Genomic DNA, 19488 nt, shown 5'->3' with positions numbered 1-19488 from the left:
CGTGGATGCCTGCTACAGGGTGTGGAACCAAGGGACCGAGCATTTTCTTGCAGTTGTGCGTCAGTGGAGGGTTGTGGATGATCAGTGTATTAAAGTCTGTGTTTGCTTCCTTCAGCAAAAAAAGTTCACCATCACAAGCAGTGTCACTGGGAAGAAGCACACATTTGTCACAGATTCAGCCAAGACCAGTAAATACTTACTGGACCTCTGCTCAGCCCAGCATGGGTTTAATGCACAGATGGGCTCTGGGCAGCCTTCCCATGTTTTATTTGGTGAGTAGAAGCTGTATTCTCCATATACACTTTGACAAGTTTGTTATTTCATAAAATAATTTGTATAAATAGATACAATTGATCTGGGGACCTCTAATAGAGTTGTAAATCTCTCTAATAATGACAGAAATACAATAAAAATGAAATACAGTTTTATTTTCTCATGTTGGCAAGCACTAAAATAAATAACACTGGGAGGATAAATTGATATGATCTTTTCAGAGTGCAATTGGAAATATACATCAAAAGCCTTAAAAAGTGCACGTCCTCTTGGCCCCATAATTTTACTTGTAGATAGACATTTATCCTAAGATAATCAATAGAGACATACACAAAAGTTGCTGCCCATGGATGTCTACTAGGGTGTCATTTATGACAGTGACCATTTGAAAGCAATCTAAGTATCCAAACATAGAAGACCAGATAAATAAACCAAGAGCATCTATATAATTCAGACAGTAAAATCAGTTTTTGGACAATGATGATATGTGAAACTGTACATGATAGGGTGCTAAGTGAGGAAAAGGAAGTTCTAAGACTGTATCTAGCTAGCACCGTCCAATGACACTTTCTTCAATGATGGAAATACCTGCATTGTTCAGTGTGGGAGTCACTAGCAACACAGACCTATCATGAACAAAAGTTCTTGGAAAAGGAATTCGAAGGAAAAAGACTTTATTCCTGTCACAGTCTGCAAACCCAGAAGGCACAACCTTGGTATAAAACAAAGGTGTGTTCTGGAGAACAAAGAGAGGGTTTGGCTTTTATAGATAAAACTCCCACCTAGGTTCCCAATCAAGTTCATTTATTCAAATGAAAGATTCAAACTTGCTTAGTTCAGATTGGTTGATGCGGTGCAGTTCTGACTAGTTGATACAGCTGAGCCCTGATTCGAGGAGGCAGGTGAGCTCTGATTGGTTGGTTCAGGTGAGCTCTGCAAGTCCCAATGTTAAACAGAAGGGTGGTTCTTCAAGGAACTCAGAGTACCTGTGTGACCTCTAGTCAGCAAATGGTTGCTTGGCTCTGTTTTATTTATTTATTTATTTATTTATTTATTTATTTATTTATTTATTTATATTTTTTAGCTTTTAGTTTTTATTTACTTATGAAACATAAAGCAATTTTGGGCAAAAGGTAACAAATAAACCTTGAAATTTCAATGGCTTAATACAGCAAAGGTTTGTTTCTCAGGTGCTTCTTGGTCTGGCTATTTTGCAGCTCTCCTCCAGCGACATGGGGTCTCGGCTGCTTCAGTGGAGAGCTCCATTATCTAGAATAATTACTCCAGAAAGGAAAGAGAAAGCTGTAAAATTGCACAAGATGTTTTAAGAGCCAGACCCCAAAGTGACTCATATTCCTTCCATCTGCATTTCATTAACAGAACACAGTCACATGGCCCCCAAGACAACTGCAAGACGGGTTGGAAAGGGAGGACTTCCTGTGTGCCCAGGAAGAGGAAGTAGTGTAACGATACACCATGGTCCTTGCCATAACGGCTGCAGCCGTCTGCTGTATCACTCTTAATTGAGAGTTTGGTATTAAACTCATAGCAGGACCAGATTACGGAAGAGGCAGAGTTTATCATTTGTGTTTAGATTGGAATCCTTGCAAGGAAAAACATTAAAATGTTTCTGCAATACACATAATCTAGAGATCAGGTGGACAGCATGGTGACCTGAATGCAGCACAGTTGAAGATTAACTACCAACAAGAATAACAATGAATGTCCTATTAAATAGCCCTGGAAGCACCTGTACCAATCAGGAAGCTATTTGCTGCTGCTTAGCAATTACAGTGAGAAATGTAACTCATCACATTCTCCTACTTTTGGTTGCTTAGCAGATCTTTTGCTTACTGTGCTTCTAAATTCAAAAACTATAAATACCCTTGTTTTACCAGGACCATATCTTAAAAATTTAAGGTACCTTGTAGAGTAGGGTTTTTTTTTTTTTTTGCCTGAACTCATTTTTTCAGAAAAATTTCAACTTTTATTTTAGATGCAGGGGGTACATGTGCAGATTTGTTAAATGGGAATATTATGTGATGCTGAGAGGTTTGGAGTATGGATCCGGTCACACTGGTAGTGAGCATAGTACCTGATAGGTAGTTTTCTAACCCATCTCACCTTCCTCCACCCTCTAGTAGTCCACAGTGTCTATTGTTCCCATATTTATGTCTATGTCTGATCAATGTTTAGCTCCTGCTTATAAGGAAGAACATGCAGTATTTGATTTTCTGTTCCTGCGTTAATTTGCTTAGGATTATGGCTTCCAGCTCAATCCATGTTACTGTATACAAAATCAATGTACAAACATCAGTAGCATCTCTATACACCAACAGCATCTCAGGCTGAGAGTGAAATCAAGAACACAATCCCACTTAAACAATAGCCACAAAGAAAATGAAATACCCAGGAATACAGCTAATCAGGAAGGTGAACAATCTCTACAAAGAGAACTACAAAACACTACTGAAAGAAATCAGAGATGACACAAATAAATGGAAAAACATTCTATGCTTATGGATTGGAAGAATCAATGTTGTAAAAATAACCATATTGCCCAAAGCAATTTACAGATTCAATGCTATTCCTATCAAACTACCAATGTCATTCTTCACAGAATTAGAAAAAAAAACTATTCTAAAATTCATATGGGACCTAAAAAGAGCCTGAATAGCCAAAGCAATCTATTTTAAATTTGGGCCCAGTTAGCTGCTCAGAATCCATCTTGAGGGACTGGCTCTTTCAGGTTCACATTTGTTCACACTATTGGGCACTTCAAAGGTGGCAAAAAGAACTGGGGGATTAAATTTTCAATGTTATTTAATTTTCTTCCATTTATATTTAAATTTAAATGGCCACATGTGCCTACTGTATTGAATAGCATAGTTATAGATAGACACACAACACTAATTTGGTTAATATTGTGTTTTAAGATAAGGAAGAATACAGAAATGAACTGCACCAAAATGTTACTGTTATTACCTTTGGGAGTTAGGCATGCAGGCACGACTGTTTTCTCTGTGATACTTTTTTGATATTTATTAAACTTACAACAATGAATGTGTATTATTGTTATAACTAAGAGTAAGACTATTGGTTAAAATGGGGCACACATCACATAAGACAAGTTAATATTTATGGAGCATTTACGAAGTGCTATGGAGCTATTTACTATTGTTATTACTAATTTTTCCTGGTGTTATGCTAAGTACTTACACTAATTACCTCCCTTATGTTCATAATTTACTGTTTTCTCAAACTGCCCTGGTCAAGCAGCCCCAGGAGGCAGGTACCAGCATTATGGGGAGGAGCAAACTGAGGCTTGGAAAAGTTAAGTAATGTGCTGGCTGCTTGGTGGTGGGCCTAGCCAAGGTTTGAACCTGTGGCTGTTGGGGCCCAGTGCCTGTACTATGGCCTTTCATAACCAGCCAGAGCATGGAATTCAGTGCTAGAGAGACTTGGTTCTGCGCACTGGCTTTACCACAGCTGCTGTCAATGTCTAGGCATTAGTTCTTCTTTGGCCATAAAAGGGAGCAATATAATATAGTGGTTTACACCCTTCATGTTCAGAGCGTGGTTCCTGGAGCTGCAGCATGCATGTCATCTGGGAGCTTGCAAAGGATGCAGAATCTCAGTCCCCACTCCAGACCATCTGAATCTGAATCTGCCTTTTAAAAAGAACCCAAGTGATTTAAATGTACATATAAGCTTCAGAAACACTAACTTGGAATGTGGCCTGTGGAGTCCAGTAGACTCAGGGGAGTGCCACTTTCTAGCTGTGTGACTTTGGGCAGCTCACTTCCCCTTTCAGAGCTGGAGTGTCCTCATTGGAGCACACAGACCGTACTGTAGGTTTGTATTGTGCTCGAGTGGGAAGGTGTGTGCGTGTAACATTTCTAGCTCAGTGTCTGGTGTTCTGTGCTCAGTGTGAGAGTAGTAATGGTGGCTCCTGCTCACGGGGGTTTTGTTCAGTGCCAGCCAATTCATATGGGAGCTGTGTCATTGGGTCCTGGGGCTGGCCCAGGAGTTGGGGTCAACTGGGAAACAAAATTGCTGAACTTTCAGATGCAGAACCAAATGCAGAAAATAATGGTAGCTTATTTTATTATTTGCAGCAGAACCAGATGAACATATAAACATTTCATTGAAACCACAGGCTGGTGGTTCCAGGATATTTCCAGGGAGCTGGAGATGACAAATGTAAATTAATTATACCTGACTTACCTGCTATTGCTGAGAACAGTGTGTGAAACACCATTGATATTGCTTTTATTGCCTGATTTCAGTGACTGTAAAATATTTATAAATATTTCATGAGCTCACTTGTAAAATTAGTCCTTTCAGGCCTATTTGGCTTGTAATAGGCTGTTTTCTCAAACTGCACATTCTACTGTCTTAGGAGTTTTTAGGAATCTAACATTTATTTGCATTGAAAGGATGAGTTTAGACAAAGTTCCCTTGCTTTTTAAAATATTTCTTCATTTTAGAAACTCTCTCTGCAGATTCATGTAACCCTTTTCAGCGATTACATGCAGCCGAGAACTGACCGCCTCCAGCTGATGGTCCCACACACCCCTCAAGCTCAGGGCATCCGTAATTGATCTCTTCCTCTCACACACCTCTCTTTGCCATGATATGTCTTGTACAAAGGTGGTCACCCAGCCTCCCTGCAGGAAACTGGGAGTGTCTGGGCCTGCACCCTCTCTTCCCACCCCACTTGTCACCAAAAACAGACAGAGAGAGATGTCAAAGCTGGGGGAACCCAACACATCTCATATCCTTGAAATGGAGGCACGTCACATAATGGACTTGCTGCTGGTACTCTTGTCCTGGATAATTGTCCTTCTCAGCCTTCAGAGTGACCTTTCAAAAGGACCAATCCTGTCATTTTCTTCCATGCTGAAAACTTGTTAATGGCTCTCTGTTGTCTGCAAGGACAAGCTCAAACTTCTTCTAGAATGGCATGCCAGACACTTCCCACTCAGTCCCCAGTCCTGCCATATTCTTTGCCCTGACTCCTCCTCTCTGGTCTCTGGCTGTTTTTCATGCCAGCTTGCAGGCTGTTCAGCACACCAGGATGGCTCAGCTTCCAGGGCTTTTGTGCCCAGCATACCCTCTGCCTGCAGCACGTTCCTAACTCCTTCCTGGCTCAGACCACCAAGATAAGTCCGATCCTCTGTAAATAAGCTTAAGGGTAACCTCATCCTTGAAGGCTTTCCTGATTGACTGCCCCCAGGTGGCTCTTCCTAGGTGGATGGACCACTCCCTCTGCTGTGCAGACCTCTGTCTTCTCACCTGTATTATTCTGCCACTTTTATTTGTGGATATGCCTGCCTGCAGTCAGCAGTGGACTGGGAGTTCCACAAGAGCAGCTCCAGCACAGAACAGAGGTGTGGTGTGTCAAATGGGAAGTGGTTAATACATGTTTTTTGATGAACGAATGGATGATTTGTGTGGAATTACAATAATTTACTGAACCCTTCCCATTTTTGATATTTAGTTTACTTTTTGTTTTTAAGTATTACAAATAATATGATAAATATCACTGGAAGAAATATTTTTCTATATTTTATATCATTTCTTTTAGCTAGATCTCAGAAGTGTAATTGTTGGGTACCAGTGCTGGGCATTTTTCTAAGACTACTGCTGTTTTCCCAAGTGCCAATCTCAAGCCCAGTATTGTCTTGCCTGTTTTGTTGCATCCTTGTTGGAATAAATATCATCGTGTTTATCTTTGTTCATTTGAAGGTAAAAGTGATTTCTCGCTGTGGCTTTATTTTGCAGTCCTTTGATTCTTGAGCAGTTGAGCACTTTCCAAGTGCTTCTTAGTCATTCTTCTGTGAATTATCTCAATAAGCATATTACTTTATAGTTATATTTGGTTCTGTAGGGGGAAAAGATAGATCACTGAGCTTTTACAAATGCATAATTTCAGGACTAAATAGGCAGGATCTGTCAGCCCTGTGGAGTGGGGCCCATGGGCCTTTGCTCAGCTGTTTCTCATGGGTGGTCTGGGGGCTACAGGGTTGGTCTCAGCCCTTCCACAAGAAGGCTGCAAGACTGCAGATTTGCAGTGAGCTGCCCAGAATCTTGTCCTGGGTGTCTTTTCCTTGTGGCCCTTGGCTCAGAGTATATCCTGTGTCCTTATGACACTGTAAGTGACTTGGACTTTGCCCTTGACATCCAGATGGATTCAGCCTTATTTCCCTAGTGCCACAATTATGCTATGAGTCACCCACAGCAGGGAATAGAAACTGTCCACTGTCCTCAGCTTGCTAGTGGCTTTGGGACATTCGTGGCAATGCTTCCTTCCATTCTTGAAAGGCTGTCTACTTTTGGCTCTACCACCTTCCAACAAATCCCCCCTCCACTGTTTGTCCACCCAGTCAGCCCCATGAAGCTGAGGCGTGGCGATGACACTGGCACTCACCAGCAGCCCCACCAGCCCACAGCTGTAGGCTGAGTCCCTGATGCTGAGTGCTTGACACCCAGGGTCTCATTTCCTGACCTCACTAAGCAGCCCCTCTCCTGCTAACTGAGCTTCCTCCTCAGGCTCCAGGCACTCTCCAGCATCTCACAGGCCCTTGAGCTCTCTCTCCTCTGCTAACTTTTGTGAGTCCCCTGCCTCTAAGGGATGGCTCCTTCCTGTAATCACAGTCTCTGTACAGTCTTGCTTCAAACTCGCTAAACCTTTCTGAGCTGCGACCTTGCCTCCACTGTCTCTGCCTAGAATATCCGCCTGTGGGTATTAATATCCATCATGATTAAGTCTAAGGTCACTCTCCCTTTGGGCCCCGGTAAACAGAAGGCTGGGTGTGTCTCAGATAAATCTCCCCTGCTGCTGTCATTGTCTTTGTGTCCTCAGCATCCCCATTTTCCAGCGTGGACTGTGGAGTCTGCAGATTTGAGTGTGAGTCTGCCCTACCACTTACTGGCTTTGGGACCATGAGCAAATAATTAACACACTCTTAGCCCCAAGTTCCATGATCTTTAAATTGGGTATAATAATATCTACCCCATAGGGTTATTGTGAGGATTAAATGAGACAATGCAGATAATGTGCTTCCCACCACGCCTGGCACATAGTAAGCATTCAGCAAATATTAGTAGTTGATGTTGACATTACTGCTGTTGTTGCTGTTTCTGAGCAAGCCCAAGCTCTGTATGGAGTAAGATACTATGCAATTTGTGCAAAAGCTGCAGGTCACATTTAATTTACTTATATTCCTTCATTGCTTTTTGCCTACTGTATGTGAGTGATGGTACCATAGTGCCTCATGCATGCAGAAAATTCTCAAAAAGTTTTTTTTTAAAAGGCTGGCTTTTTCAGTAAGCACAGCCCTGGCAGGGAACCAGACACCATTGTAGAGAAGAGAGGGGGGTCTGTTTGAAGAAATATATGCCCATGGATATCCTTGAAATGGAGGCACTTCACCAGGCTCTAGAAGTGCATGTGCACACACACACACACATACACACACAGAGAAACCAGGAGCCACACCACTACCATGTGTCTGACCGTTCTTTCCTTCTTGGTTTTAGCAAGGCGCAGATGGTCAGAATGTAGTCATCATTTTCCTGTCTTAAAATACTAACTTGGCTTTATGTAAAGCCTCATTAACTTAAAAGCTCTATTTTTCAAATCCCATTTTTTTTATGATCAATGTGAATAGTGAAGTGGGGAGTTAATCACATCCATGGTCTTAAGTTCAAGACTTCATCAAAGTTATTTATTAAACATTTCTGCATGGAAGGAGAAAGGCAAGTGTCAAAGCTGGGGGGAACCCAACACATCTCATATTATATTTCAGGAAATAGGACCTTGTATTAAATATGATTACCAGGGCAAACTACGCTGTGTAGAGATTAAAGGTTATACTCCACAGAGCAGAGCCTAATCTTGGGATCCCAGGAGATTTGGAGGCACATTTGCTACAAGAATGTTTGGGAGGACAGATCTGTAAAAGCAGAAAGCAGAAGGGGATGGGGCAGCTGATTTCGCAGGAGGCTCGGCCGGAGCCCGACACACCCGCAAATACTCTAGGGTTAGCACCCATTTAAACAGGCTCTTTGGCTCTGCGTCCTGTCAGCTGCAAGGGGAGAGAGAGCATCTCGTCTCTTCCTTCTTCTGTTTCTGAGGTTTCTTTCATTAGCAAGTGCTAATTAGGAGACCTTGCATTCCCAGGGATAATCACAGGAGACAAAATAGCAGCAGAAAAAGAAAGGAGGAGGAGAGCGGGGGCCCAGTGATATGTTACAACCACCAGAGCAATGGATCCAGCATCATTCTTGTGTGTGTGTATGTCTATGTTTTTCTCCCCAAATTCAGACCATGATAAGTTTGTGCAAATGGCCAATTTGAGTCCTGCACACCAGGCCCGGTCTAAGCCTCTCATTTGGATTCAGAGATTGTCATGCTCAGAAAACGAGTTGTTTGTATCCAGGCTTCAGGGTGCTGCAGGAGGCCTGCTGAGTACATCAATGGATAACTTCAACGTGGACGGCAGCAAGGAGGCTGGAGCAGAAGGCATCGGGCGCAGGTGGGTGTGACACATTTGTTCTCTGGGCCCAAACCACCATGTGCTTGATGGTTTGCAGTGATCTGTACTGAAGATTTATTTTATTTTTTTTTTGAGACTGAGTTTTGCTCTTGTTGCCCAGGCTGGAGGAGTGCAGTGGCGTGATCTTGGCTCACCGCAACCTCAGCCTTCCAGGTTCAAGCGATTCTCCTGCCTCAGCCTCCTGAGTAGCTGGGATTACAGGCATGCACTGCCACACCCTGCTAATTTTTATATTTTTAGTAGAGACAGGGATTCTCCATGTTGGTCAGGCTGGTCTCAACCTGAGGTCCAGACCTCAGGTGATCCACCCTCCTCGGCCTCCCAAAGTGCTAGGATTACAGGCATGAGCCACCAAGCCTGGCCAAGAAATTGTTTAAACGATGTTAGATGTCTAGGAAAAGTGTATATTTATTGGGTAACTGTCAATCAATTCCACAGAGATTTACAGAAGGCCATCTATGGGCTAAGTCTATGTTAAACACTCTAGGGCCAACCTCTCATTCCTCCTTCTATGATGCTCCCGTCTTTTGGTGAAGAAAGAACTAGATGACAATATGAAATTGGAGAGGACAAATAAACAAGTTGCAATAAGCCTATTTGGCCTTATTATCAGCCAGGTGCTGTTCTGAGCACGTGTACATATCAACTAATTTAAGTCTTATGACTCTGTTAAGTGTTTCCGTTGTTCTCATCACATCACAGAGAGGAAACCCAGGGGTTAGGATTTGAACACAAGCAGCTGGCCTTAGAGTCCAGCTCCTAACCTCTACACCACGCTACCTTTCCTATTGATGAGTTTCTTATCATTTAAATTTATATGTAAAAATAGTGGGCTTATAAATGCAACTTCACATGACAAAACGATTCATAAATTTAAAAATAGCCTAGGACTTGGATTACATTTACACTGCAATTTATAGAAATAGCACAGATTCCCAGGCAGCATATGACCAATGAAGGTTGCTGCAGGAGCTGTTTTTTTGGGATGAGTTTTCCAGCTACTTCAGCAAGAGGGTATGGATGATTCATTTGAACTGAAAGTCTATGTGTGTATCTATATCTATACCTATATCTATATCCATAATTATTGCCCCCAATTCTGTTGATGCAAATGTACATTGCCGTGCACCACAAACTAAATCAACAGTGGTAAGGCAAAACGGTTTCGAGCATCTATTGCTGTGTAACAAACGACCCCAAAGCACAGTGGCTTAAAACAATGACCATTGTGTTATTCCATTTCACAATGAACTGGATTAGAAATTTCACAGTGAACTGGGTTAGAAATTCAGGCAGGACTGAGTTGAGGGATTCTTCTGGGTTTCATGTGGTATTGTCTGGGGTCCAGCAGATGCTGGACTAGTCTAGAGGACGCAAGACGACTTTGTTCACAGGCTGCTTCCTTGGATGGTTGGGAGGCAGTGCTCACGGAGCCCCTCTCTCTCCGTGAGTAGTCTTGACTCCTCTTCATGTGGGGTCTCCAGCAAGGTTCTGCAAGGCAGGAGGGCTCCAAGATCCCAAAAAGAAGCTGTCAGTTCTCTTCAAGTCTAAGCCTGAAGCTAGCCTGGTGTCAGTCCTGCCATACTGCTGGTTAAAATAGTCACAGGTCAGCACAGATTCAAAGGGAGCAGAAATAGTCTCCACTTCTTGATGTAGGAGCGTCCAAGACCTTGTGAACATCTTTCATTTGTCACCCAACTAATGGTACCTTATAGCACTTCATTGTTTAAAAGGCAGAAGAAGCCATGACTGACTCAAGGCCATCTTGAGGATGTGTTGCCCGCAAAGCATCCTTTCTGAGAATGGTGGCCCTTCCAGCGACTGGCCAGTGGTCACGCACAGTAGGGGCTTTTCAGTGTTGCATGGTTGCTGGCCTTCTTGATACAAAGCTGAATTGGCGCCCTCCGTAATATTCGGTATAACTCTAATCTTGGTTTACAAATGCCAAATTTTCATGACCCTTAATAACTCACATCAGAAGTTACCAGTAACCCGTGGGTGAAAAGGGAAACCTAATTACTAGGCTTTTGAGTTCTTGGAAGATTCCCCTCACCCCACCTCCAAGAAGCACAGCTTGAGACACTGGTTTGGGTGCGGGTATGTTTTTGTGGAGGTGATGCCAAGAAGGAGTGAGAGAGAGAGGGAGTTGGGGAAGCAGGCAAAGTGTGGTCACAGGGGTAGGGGTCACCAGGTAGCTGTTGAGGGCAACCAGGGCTCAGCTCCACAGAGGTGTGCAGAGGCCTCCTAGAACTGCAGGACAGGAGGCAAACACCATGTAATGGCTCCTACTTCCCTTTGGTCAAAGGATGGGAGGCCTGGACTCTCCCATGCTTTTGGGTAAGGTGGGAATAGTGGGGGTGGAGGAGACGGCTCCCAAGATGGACAAGAATCTCTAGAGCAGAAAGAGGGCCACACCTGAGCCAGGATGCTGTCAGCTCAGCTGAGCCTGAGCTCTCATGGAACTGCCCCCCACCACTGCAGTTGAAGTCTGAGGTGGGCCAAAGTCCATGACAGTGATGCAGTTGAGACATTTAGAGTTTCTGTCATGGTACAGAGGCCATTCTGCCGGGGGCCCCTTCTGACAGGGTTCTGGATCAAGCCCCGCATCATGGAAGTCCTTTGCCAATACTTGCTCCGTGGTCTAGTGCTGTGTGACCTCAATGAAGTTATTCAACACCCCAGGCCTCAGTTTCCTCATTCATCCAGTGGTAGTAATAGTCATCCCTCCCCACTGGGTGGCTGTGGGAATTAAATCATGTTATAAAAGCTGAATATGGGTTGGTCTGTGGTGACTGCCCTGATGCTGGTCTCGAACACAGTGTTAGGCTCCATGAACGGCGCAGCAATTTCCAAGCAAGGGCACCAGGGACGGCTGCTTGGGAGATGTGGCATCAGGTCTTGACTGATGAATAGGATCTGGGCACCGTGAGAGGAAGAGAAGGAATGCCATGAGCAAGGGCCTCCTTAGTCTTACTAGAAAAATGGATTGAGCACCTAATGTGTGCCAGCCCTGGGCCAGGTGTGGAGGATTCGGTGGTGAGCATGACAGATGTGGTCCCCACCTCATGAGCTCACAGGCCAGCGGAGAGGTGGCCCACATGGGGTCTGTGTGGAAAGATGTGGGTCATGCCGCTGGCCTAAGCCTGGGCATATGACCACAGGAGGGAAGGCTGACATGTGGAGGCAGGACCCCATCGCCAGTGGCATTCCTGAGCAGTTGTTTACACAGCACGTGGTGCCAGTGGCTGCCTGCCGTGAGGTACAGCTCCTGCCTGCCCTCCCACTCCTGAGAGGTGGCCTCTGACTTCACATCACTGCTTTTCTGAAGCCTTTCGCCACTGCCTCAGGTGAAGGTGTGGCTCCTCCACATCGCTGGCTCCAGTTAGGGCAGTACCCTCTGTCCCCTCCACCCTGACACCCACATGCTCCTGTCTGTGCTGTGAAACATGGAACTTCTCAAGAACAGCAATGTGCCTGGTATATCCTTGGCTCTGAGGCTGGCAGGGAAAGCTTTCAGTAAATGGATTTTTTTAAAGTTCACGTTTAAAATGTTTTTAAATGGTGGTAAAATACACATAATATAACACCTACCATCCTAACCACTTGTCAGTTCAGTAGCACGCAGTCCATTCATGATGTTGTGCTACCATCACGAAAGTCCATCCCCAGAGCTCTGTCCGTCTTCCCAAATTGAAACTGCACCCATTCGACACAACTCCCATTCCACCCACCTAGCCCCTGGCCGCTGCCGTGCTCCTCCTGGTCTATGAATGTGACTGCTCCAGGTTCCTCAGATGAGTGGAATCATTCACATTTCATCCTTTTGTGACTGGCAGTGATTGGCTTTTAAGCAGTAAAGGGTTGCATGTGTGGCCCAGATCACATGGGTCATAAAAACCCAGGCCCAGAAAAGCCCTTCCTTTTCCGTAAAGGCCACCTGAAGGCCACCTCAGCATCATCGCCTCTCTCGGCTCCTCCCAGACTGTGGGGATTTCTCCATCCATTGAGCACACGAGCGCCCTGTCGCAGCCTCTCCCTGGGCACCTTGGTTGGCTCTAGGAGGCATGAAAGTCATCCACCCTGCATCCCACAGCAGGCTGGGGACTCTCAGAGGACAGGGCCCATGCCTGACCCACCCTTTACCCTCAGTGCCTTGGAGCTCAGGCCTGACACCTGGGGTTCTCAGTCACTGTGGGTCGATCGTGCTGCAAGGCAAGCACAAACATGAGCCAAGTCAGAGTGAGGCCTCATCTGTCGCCAGTCTCCAAAGCTACTCTGTGCTGCACCTCACTGTGAGGCTGGACTTCTCCTCCCCCCACCGCCCCTGTTCTTCCCTTTCTGGCTGCAGCCTCTTTGCACAGTGCCAAGCTCCCTGCAGAGAGAGCCCTGGTGTCACAGCTCCAAGGGTACAGGGGGTGGATCCATGGGTAACTGTCCATGCCAGCGACCCCTGCTATAGTCCAGCTGCTTGAAGCTGTGAGATTGCTGTGGGGCTCTGAGGGGTGGGGGTCAGTCTGGGTAACCAGGGAAGCGGAATCTGCTCAGATGTTTGGCTGTCCAGGAGTCCCAGAGCTGGCTTTTTCCAGGGCTCTGAGACCCACAGCTTTACATCAATTGTTCCCTCTCAATCTAGACTTTGCTCACCTCTGAATGTAGCTTATCTCTGTGCAGAACTGACCCCGGGGCTGTGGCAACATCTCCCTTGACTCATTATTCTGCTAGGCTCTAGTACATTATTTACTAGCATGAGGCATATTCCGTCAGGGCCAGTTGAATGCCTGCATGAATGCTTCTTGTTCACAGCATGGTATGATCAGGCGGCACCCAACACAACATGTACAATGATCAAGCAGGTCAGTGACCCTGTGCAGCTCTCGAGCATGTGGTAGGTGGGGTGTGGAGGGTGCCTGGCCTGCCTGAAGGCCTCCAGCTGAAAACAGGAGCAAATGACAAAACATCAGTATCCACTAAGAGTGCTGGTGTTTGACACTTACTATCTCATTTCAGTTCCCTTAGAAGCCTGGGAAGTAGGAATGTTATTCTTATTTTATGGTTGAAAAAATGGAGGTTTACAGGATCACGTATCTTGCACATAGTAGGAGGCTCATATGAAGCCAGAGTTACCTCAGTGTCCCCTCTGAGACATAAAGATCCTACAGCCATTTTTCCCAGTGTCCTCCTAATAACTAGATCAGCCCTCGATGGGGTCCCTCTGAGGAGCTGCTGGATGACTGGACACAAGGCTGCCCTCCCCGGGCCATCATCCATACTCAGAAATGCCAAGAAGTTGCCTCCCTGAGCCACCTTATCTAACCTCACTGTCCTTCCCCGTGGGCCACCTTATCTAACCTCATTTTCTTTTCCCGGCAGCCCCTGCACTGGCCGGGAGCAGCTGAAGAGTGCCTGTGTGATCCAGAAGCCAATGACCTGGGACTCTCTCTCTGGACCACCTGTTCAGAGCATGCATGCAGGTATGGGCCAGGCCACGACCAGGTCTTGGGTGGAGGAACCCCTACGCAGGAAGCTTGCTTTGAGTCTTTTACCACCACTTATTTTTGCTTCCCACACAATGTTTGTAACCTTCTTGTTTTTTGAATTGTTTTCTTTTTAAACTACTTGTGATTGGGAAGAGGCGTTTAGCTTTGGCTGGGTATGAGGATCTGAAATGTGTCAGCTCTGGCGAAGACAATCCCAGCACTCTTGTCCAGAAGGAAGAATACCTGCTATGGAGGGTGTGTTCAGAAAAAGGCACCATTCACTGTAGATATGCTTCTTTATGCAGGCCAGAACATCACCTCCCAGTATTCACCAGAAAACATACACAGAGTAGATGGCAGTCCCTTCAGCCATGCATCCTCCTGGCCAGTTCCCTGTTGAATGTGAGGACAAAGAGATCCGACACTTGGAAAAATATCTCTACTCAGTGAGCATTAAGCCTGAGGGTTGGATCAGTGTATTAGTGCGTTTTCACGCTGCTGATAAAGACATACCCAAGACTGGGAAGAAAAAGAGGTTTAATTGGACTTACAGTTCCACATGGCTGGGGAGGCCTCAGAATCACGGTGGGAGGTGAAAGGCACTTCTTACATGATGGCAGCAAGAGAAAAATGAGGAAGAAACAAAAGCGGAAACCCCGGATAAACCCATCAGATCTCGTGAGACTTATTCACTATCACGAGAATAGCATGGGAAAGACCAGCCCCCGTGATTCAGTTACTTCCCCCTGGGTCCCTCCCACAGCATGCAGGAATTCTGGGAGATACAATTCAAGTTGAGATTTGGGTGGGGACACAGCCAAACCATATCAATCAGGAAAACTGCCAGGCAACTCTTTACAAGTAACTTGTCTGCCAATTTCTGCCAAGGTCCCTGGGGGAGGGAGAGACATGGAAGGACTGAAGTGGTGGGTCACCATTTGGGGATTTTCCCAAGTACACTGTGGCACACACTGAAGTGCCCCACTCCAGGACTCCAGCTCTCCAGGAACAGCTTCAGGGCTCTGCCTGGGGCTCCTCCATGATCCAAGCCAGGGGAAGACCACAGGTCACACAGGCTGGGCTGCTGGCACCTTGTCACCCCTGGTTATTTGAGGCCTGGGATGGGAAGGCTTTACTGTCTCACCTCTGTTTTAGCTTTTGTTTTTGTTTTGACTCTCAGCAATTATTAATACATCTCTGCTCATCCTCTGTCTTGTCCCAAAACCAATGCGGAAAAAAATAGCTACAGTAAGTCATACAGAAAACAAGCACCATAGCCCATCCTGTTCTTGCCTCTGCTCTTTAAGCTGGAACTTGAGCAACACTGAGTGACACTCCAGAGAGGCTCATGTGAGTGTGTGTTCAGGTGTCCATTCCCAGCACTGCTGGGAGATTAAATATGAGCTACTTTTGTTTTCAGGATTGTGTGCGTGTGAATGTGTGTGCGCGCATGTGTGTGAAATGCTGTTTACTCCTTTTGTATTAGCTCCCAAATAATTTGGGGGAAAAGCACAATGTGGTGCTCTGATTCTACCTCTAGGCTCAAAGAATAATAGGAGGAAGAGCTTTATAGCTGAACCGGGCCGAGAAATTGTACGTGTGACACTGAAACGTGACCCACATCGTGGTTTTGGTAAGAGGGCTCCCTGTAGGTGAGGCCCAGTCTCTACTGCTGGGCAAAGTGGGGAGGTGGGTACTGTTTTCCCTTTCAACTTGCCTACTCCCCTTTCCTATCCCTCCTCTCCCAGTCTGCCTTTTCTGGTAATCACTTCTGTTTTTTTTCTCCCTTTAATTGTTCCTAAAGAGCAATGGGACTTTTGTTTCCAAGTTTTTCTTTTTGGGGTGCATCTAAGTACAATGCAGAAAAAGATTTTTTCCCCTAATACCATGTAACAACATTCCTCTAGTCAGCTATGGGGAAGAAGAGTCAATTTATCTCACCTCTTACTAGTGACCACTTTCTAAGACCCGAAAAACTGTAGAAGAAACAAGGTACGGAGACAAGGTACTTGATTAAAAATCATTTCTTTCCTATGTCTCATTATCTACTGGAGCAAAATCCAGTGCATATTGGTGGTTTGTATTCCTAGCTTTAGCTGTGCTTACTAATGGGGAACAATCCACCTTTCTCCAAGTATCATGGTAAAGTAGAAAAGATCCTCTATTTGAGGATCAGAAGACCTGACTGTAACTATCAGCTAATGCCACTTGGTAGCTGTGTGATATGAGGGAAATAACCTAACCTCTCTGAACAGCAAAATCACTAAGTATCATCTTATCATGGACTATCATCTTGGATTACAGGGTTTGTCATTAATGAGGGAGAGTATTCAGGCCAAGCTGACCCTGGCATTTTTATATCTTCTATTATACCTGGAGGACCAGCAGAAAAAGCAAAAACGATCAAACCAGGTACATCTTTTTAAATTACTAGAGATGCTGTTTTAAGAAACCACTCTTTTTTATTTCCTTGAAGGATTATTGAGATGTTTTATTTTTCTAGGAGGGCAGATACTAGCCCTGAATCACATCAGTCTGGAGGGCTTCACATTCAACATGGCTGTTAGGATGATCCAGAATTCCCCTGACAACATAGAATTAATTATTTCTCAGTCAAAAGGTATGTTTTAACCCACTCTTGGGAGCTTAAGAGGCTCCCCTGTTTTCAGGAGTACATGATTACTGTGAGGTACTAGACCTTGAAGTCCACGTAGGTCTTCTATATTGCTTTCCTCATGGTGTTGGCTTGCAAAGAAGCAGTGTAGTGGCACAAATTAATAAGCTTTGCAATTTCAGGGGCAGAATGGGCGTTACCATGCTTGTCTTGCTGAAAGGGAGTAACCTACTCTAATTTTGTTAGACACGGCTGGATACAACCAGTCTTTTTTTTTCTGTCAACTCTCCTTGCATGGCAGGGAGGACCTTTTTATTGCCACCCAAAGTCCTTGTTGATAGGGTCGGCTCCAGGATTTCTATATTTTGTATAGAATCCTATACAAAATTTCTATATTTTGTATAGGTATAGCAATCAGCTGGGGAGGAGACAAGCACTGTTCTTTGTTAATCTTTTGTTTTGGGTTTAGGGCTACATGTGTAGGTTTGTTATTACAGGCAAACTCGTGTCACAGGGGTTGCTATACAGACCATTTCATCACCTAGGTGCTCAGCATAGTGCCCAATAGTTATTTTTCCTGATCCTCTCTCTCCTCCCATCCTCCTCCCTCAAGTAGGCTCTGGTGTGTGTTGTTCCCCTCTTTGTGATCATGGGTTCTCATTATTTAGCTCCCACTTGTAAATGAGAACATGCGGTATTTGATTTTCCTTTTTTTTTTTTGAGATGGAGTCTCACTCTTTCACCCAGGATGGAGTGCAATGGCACGATCTTGGCTTTCTGCAGGCTCCACCTCCTGGGTTCAAGCAATTCTCCTGCCTCAGCCTCCTGAGTAGCTGGGATTACAGGCACGCGCTGCCACACCCGGCTAATTTTTGTATTTTTTAGTAGAGACGGGGTTTCAATATGTTGGCCAGGCTGGTCTGGAACTCCTGAACTCAAGTGATCTGCCCGCCTCAGCCTCCCAAAGTGCTGGGATTACAGGCATGAGCCACTGCACCTGGCCTTTTCTTAAAGCTGAATTTTCGTGGCAAGCTCGCTCTTCTTACTTGATGTGCATGTTCCTGATCAACCTAAAGAGTAAAGTACTTTTTGATGATGCTTTTCTTCATCCTTTAGATAAGAATGAGAGAGCAACAACTGCCTATATTAAAGGAAAATACTATTGTTTTTATCGGGACCAAGCTTGAGGAGCCTGGAGGAAGTAATGGGAGTAGGCTAACATCCCTTCTCCCTAGTTTCCTGAGACCAATGCTGCTTTTTGGTTGGGTGATCCTGTAAACTAACAGCAGACCGCCTGCAAATTCAGGCTCATGATTGCTTCTTCACACTTGAGGGGTGTTGTACAGTTTTCCCTTGTATACAGGAGAACTTCCTGTCACACCAGCCAGCATTTTCTAGGTACTAAATGCAGGCACTGCATTTGCCTTGCCTTCTGAACACTTCTGCATGCATGCTCTCTCACTCTTGTACCTGTACACAGTGCCATGCAGCTCCCCTGTCCAGAAGCTATGGGTGGTGGAAGGTGGCCATGCTGGGGTCTCAGCCCCACACCCTTCATCCTGGGGTTGAAGCCTTCTCAGGGACTGGCCTCAGTACATCTCCAATGCCAGTCTCTGGCTTGCTGTCTGTTGGATTTCCCAGCACCACTGCTCTCCTTTCTGCAGTGGTTCAGCAATCCCTGTGTTTTCTTCCACATCCTCCACTGACAGGAGCAGTCAAACCATCCCATGTGTTGTCAGGAAACACAATGCAGGTGACCAAATCACAATTCAGCATAGTCCAAGGATGGCCTGCTGTGATGGAGGTTGTCAAAAAGCAGTACTCGAGGTCTGCTATTCTCAAACCACAACCTCACATTAGAATTCCAGACAATGAGTTTCCCACAATGGCTGGGAATAAAATGTCCTTTCACTGTGGCACCCCAGCCACCTTTTGGCAATGCTGCCTTCATCATGGTGGGGTTTCCTCATAGCTGGGCCACTGCCAGAGGAAGATGTTTCCTTGGTGATGCTGGCTGGGTCTCCGTGGCAGAGACTTGACTACCATGACTTTCTTCTATCTCTTTAGGCTGCTGTTAAGGCAGCTGGGCTAGATTGGAGATCAGGATCAGACAGATAAAATGTCCATCATGAGCATCTGTCATGGTCTACAATAAATTGAGTTTCCTTTACCAAAAAAGGTCTCCCAGCTCATATGTCTACTAGGCAGGACACCAGTTGCAGCATGGTTTGACTTTTCATTTCAATCGTAAGTCCCATCCTCACCTCTCATGGAGGATGTGGAAGAGAATGAGCCGATGCTTATGACACTGCCAGAAGGACAATGATGACAGAATCTGTGAATGAAAGGGCCAGAAATACAGCATTATGAAACAGTGGCCCTGCCACTCCCTGCTGGATACCTTTAGATTTGAATAACTTCAAATCAAATTCATTAAATCAGATTTATTTAAATTGAATTCATTCAGCATGTGAGTTTGGGCACTTCCCTGAGTGTTAATGAGTCTGTATCAAAAGTAGTAAATCTACTTGTATCCAGGTCTAAAGAAAATCTAACTGTT

At 45.2% G+C, this 19488-nt stretch overlaps 1 protein-coding gene across 6 annotated transcripts in view, besides 2 other annotated features; it reads left to right on the top strand.

The window, feature by feature from the left end:
- FRMPD2 (FERM and PDZ domain containing 2) overlaps positions 1–19488 on the top strand; it is a 118337-nt gene that overhangs the window by 73396 nt on the left and 25453 nt on the right. For 4 of the 6 annotated variants that reach the window (NM_001318191.1, NM_001018071.4, XM_047424652.1 and 1 more), the window contains 6 exon segments: positions 116–272; positions 8606–8816; positions 14208–14308; positions 15855–15947; positions 16619–16726; positions 16818–16934. In NM_001318191.1, the coding sequence (NP_001305120.1) occupies positions 116–272; positions 8606–8816; positions 14208–14308; positions 15855–15947; positions 16619–16726; positions 16818–16934 (787 nt within the window). 6 annotated transcript variants of the gene reach the window in all.
- Positions 11537–12492: an enhancer, noted in NCBI's record as "H3K4me1 hESC enhancer chr10:49397051-49398006 (GRCh37/hg19 assembly coordinates)". NCBI's record gives its function as "activates a minimal SCP1, AML or CMV promoter by ChIP-STARR-seq in naive H9 embryonic stem cells {active_cell/tissue: H9 hESC(naive)}" and the evidence as "EXISTENCE:reporter gene assay evidence [ECO:0000049][PMID:30033119]".
- Positions 13572–14771: an enhancer, noted in NCBI's record as "BRD4-independent group 4 enhancer chr10:49394772-49395971 (GRCh37/hg19 assembly coordinates)". NCBI's record gives its function as "activates an origin of replication core promoter dependent on BRD2, P300/CBP, MED14 and CDK7 cofactors, and independent of BRD4, by STARR-seq in HCT116 cells {active_cell/tissue: HCT116}" and the evidence as "EXISTENCE:reporter gene assay evidence [ECO:0000049][PMID:35650434]".

The sequence above is a fragment of the Homo sapiens genome, chromosome 10, assembly GCF_000001405.40.
Source record: "Homo sapiens chromosome 10, GRCh38.p14 Primary Assembly".
Taxonomy (NCBI): Eukaryota; Metazoa; Chordata; class Mammalia; order Primates; family Hominidae; genus Homo; species Homo sapiens.
Note: the sequence above shows the minus strand (reverse complement) of the source record. Positions and strands in the feature narration are given on the sequence as shown.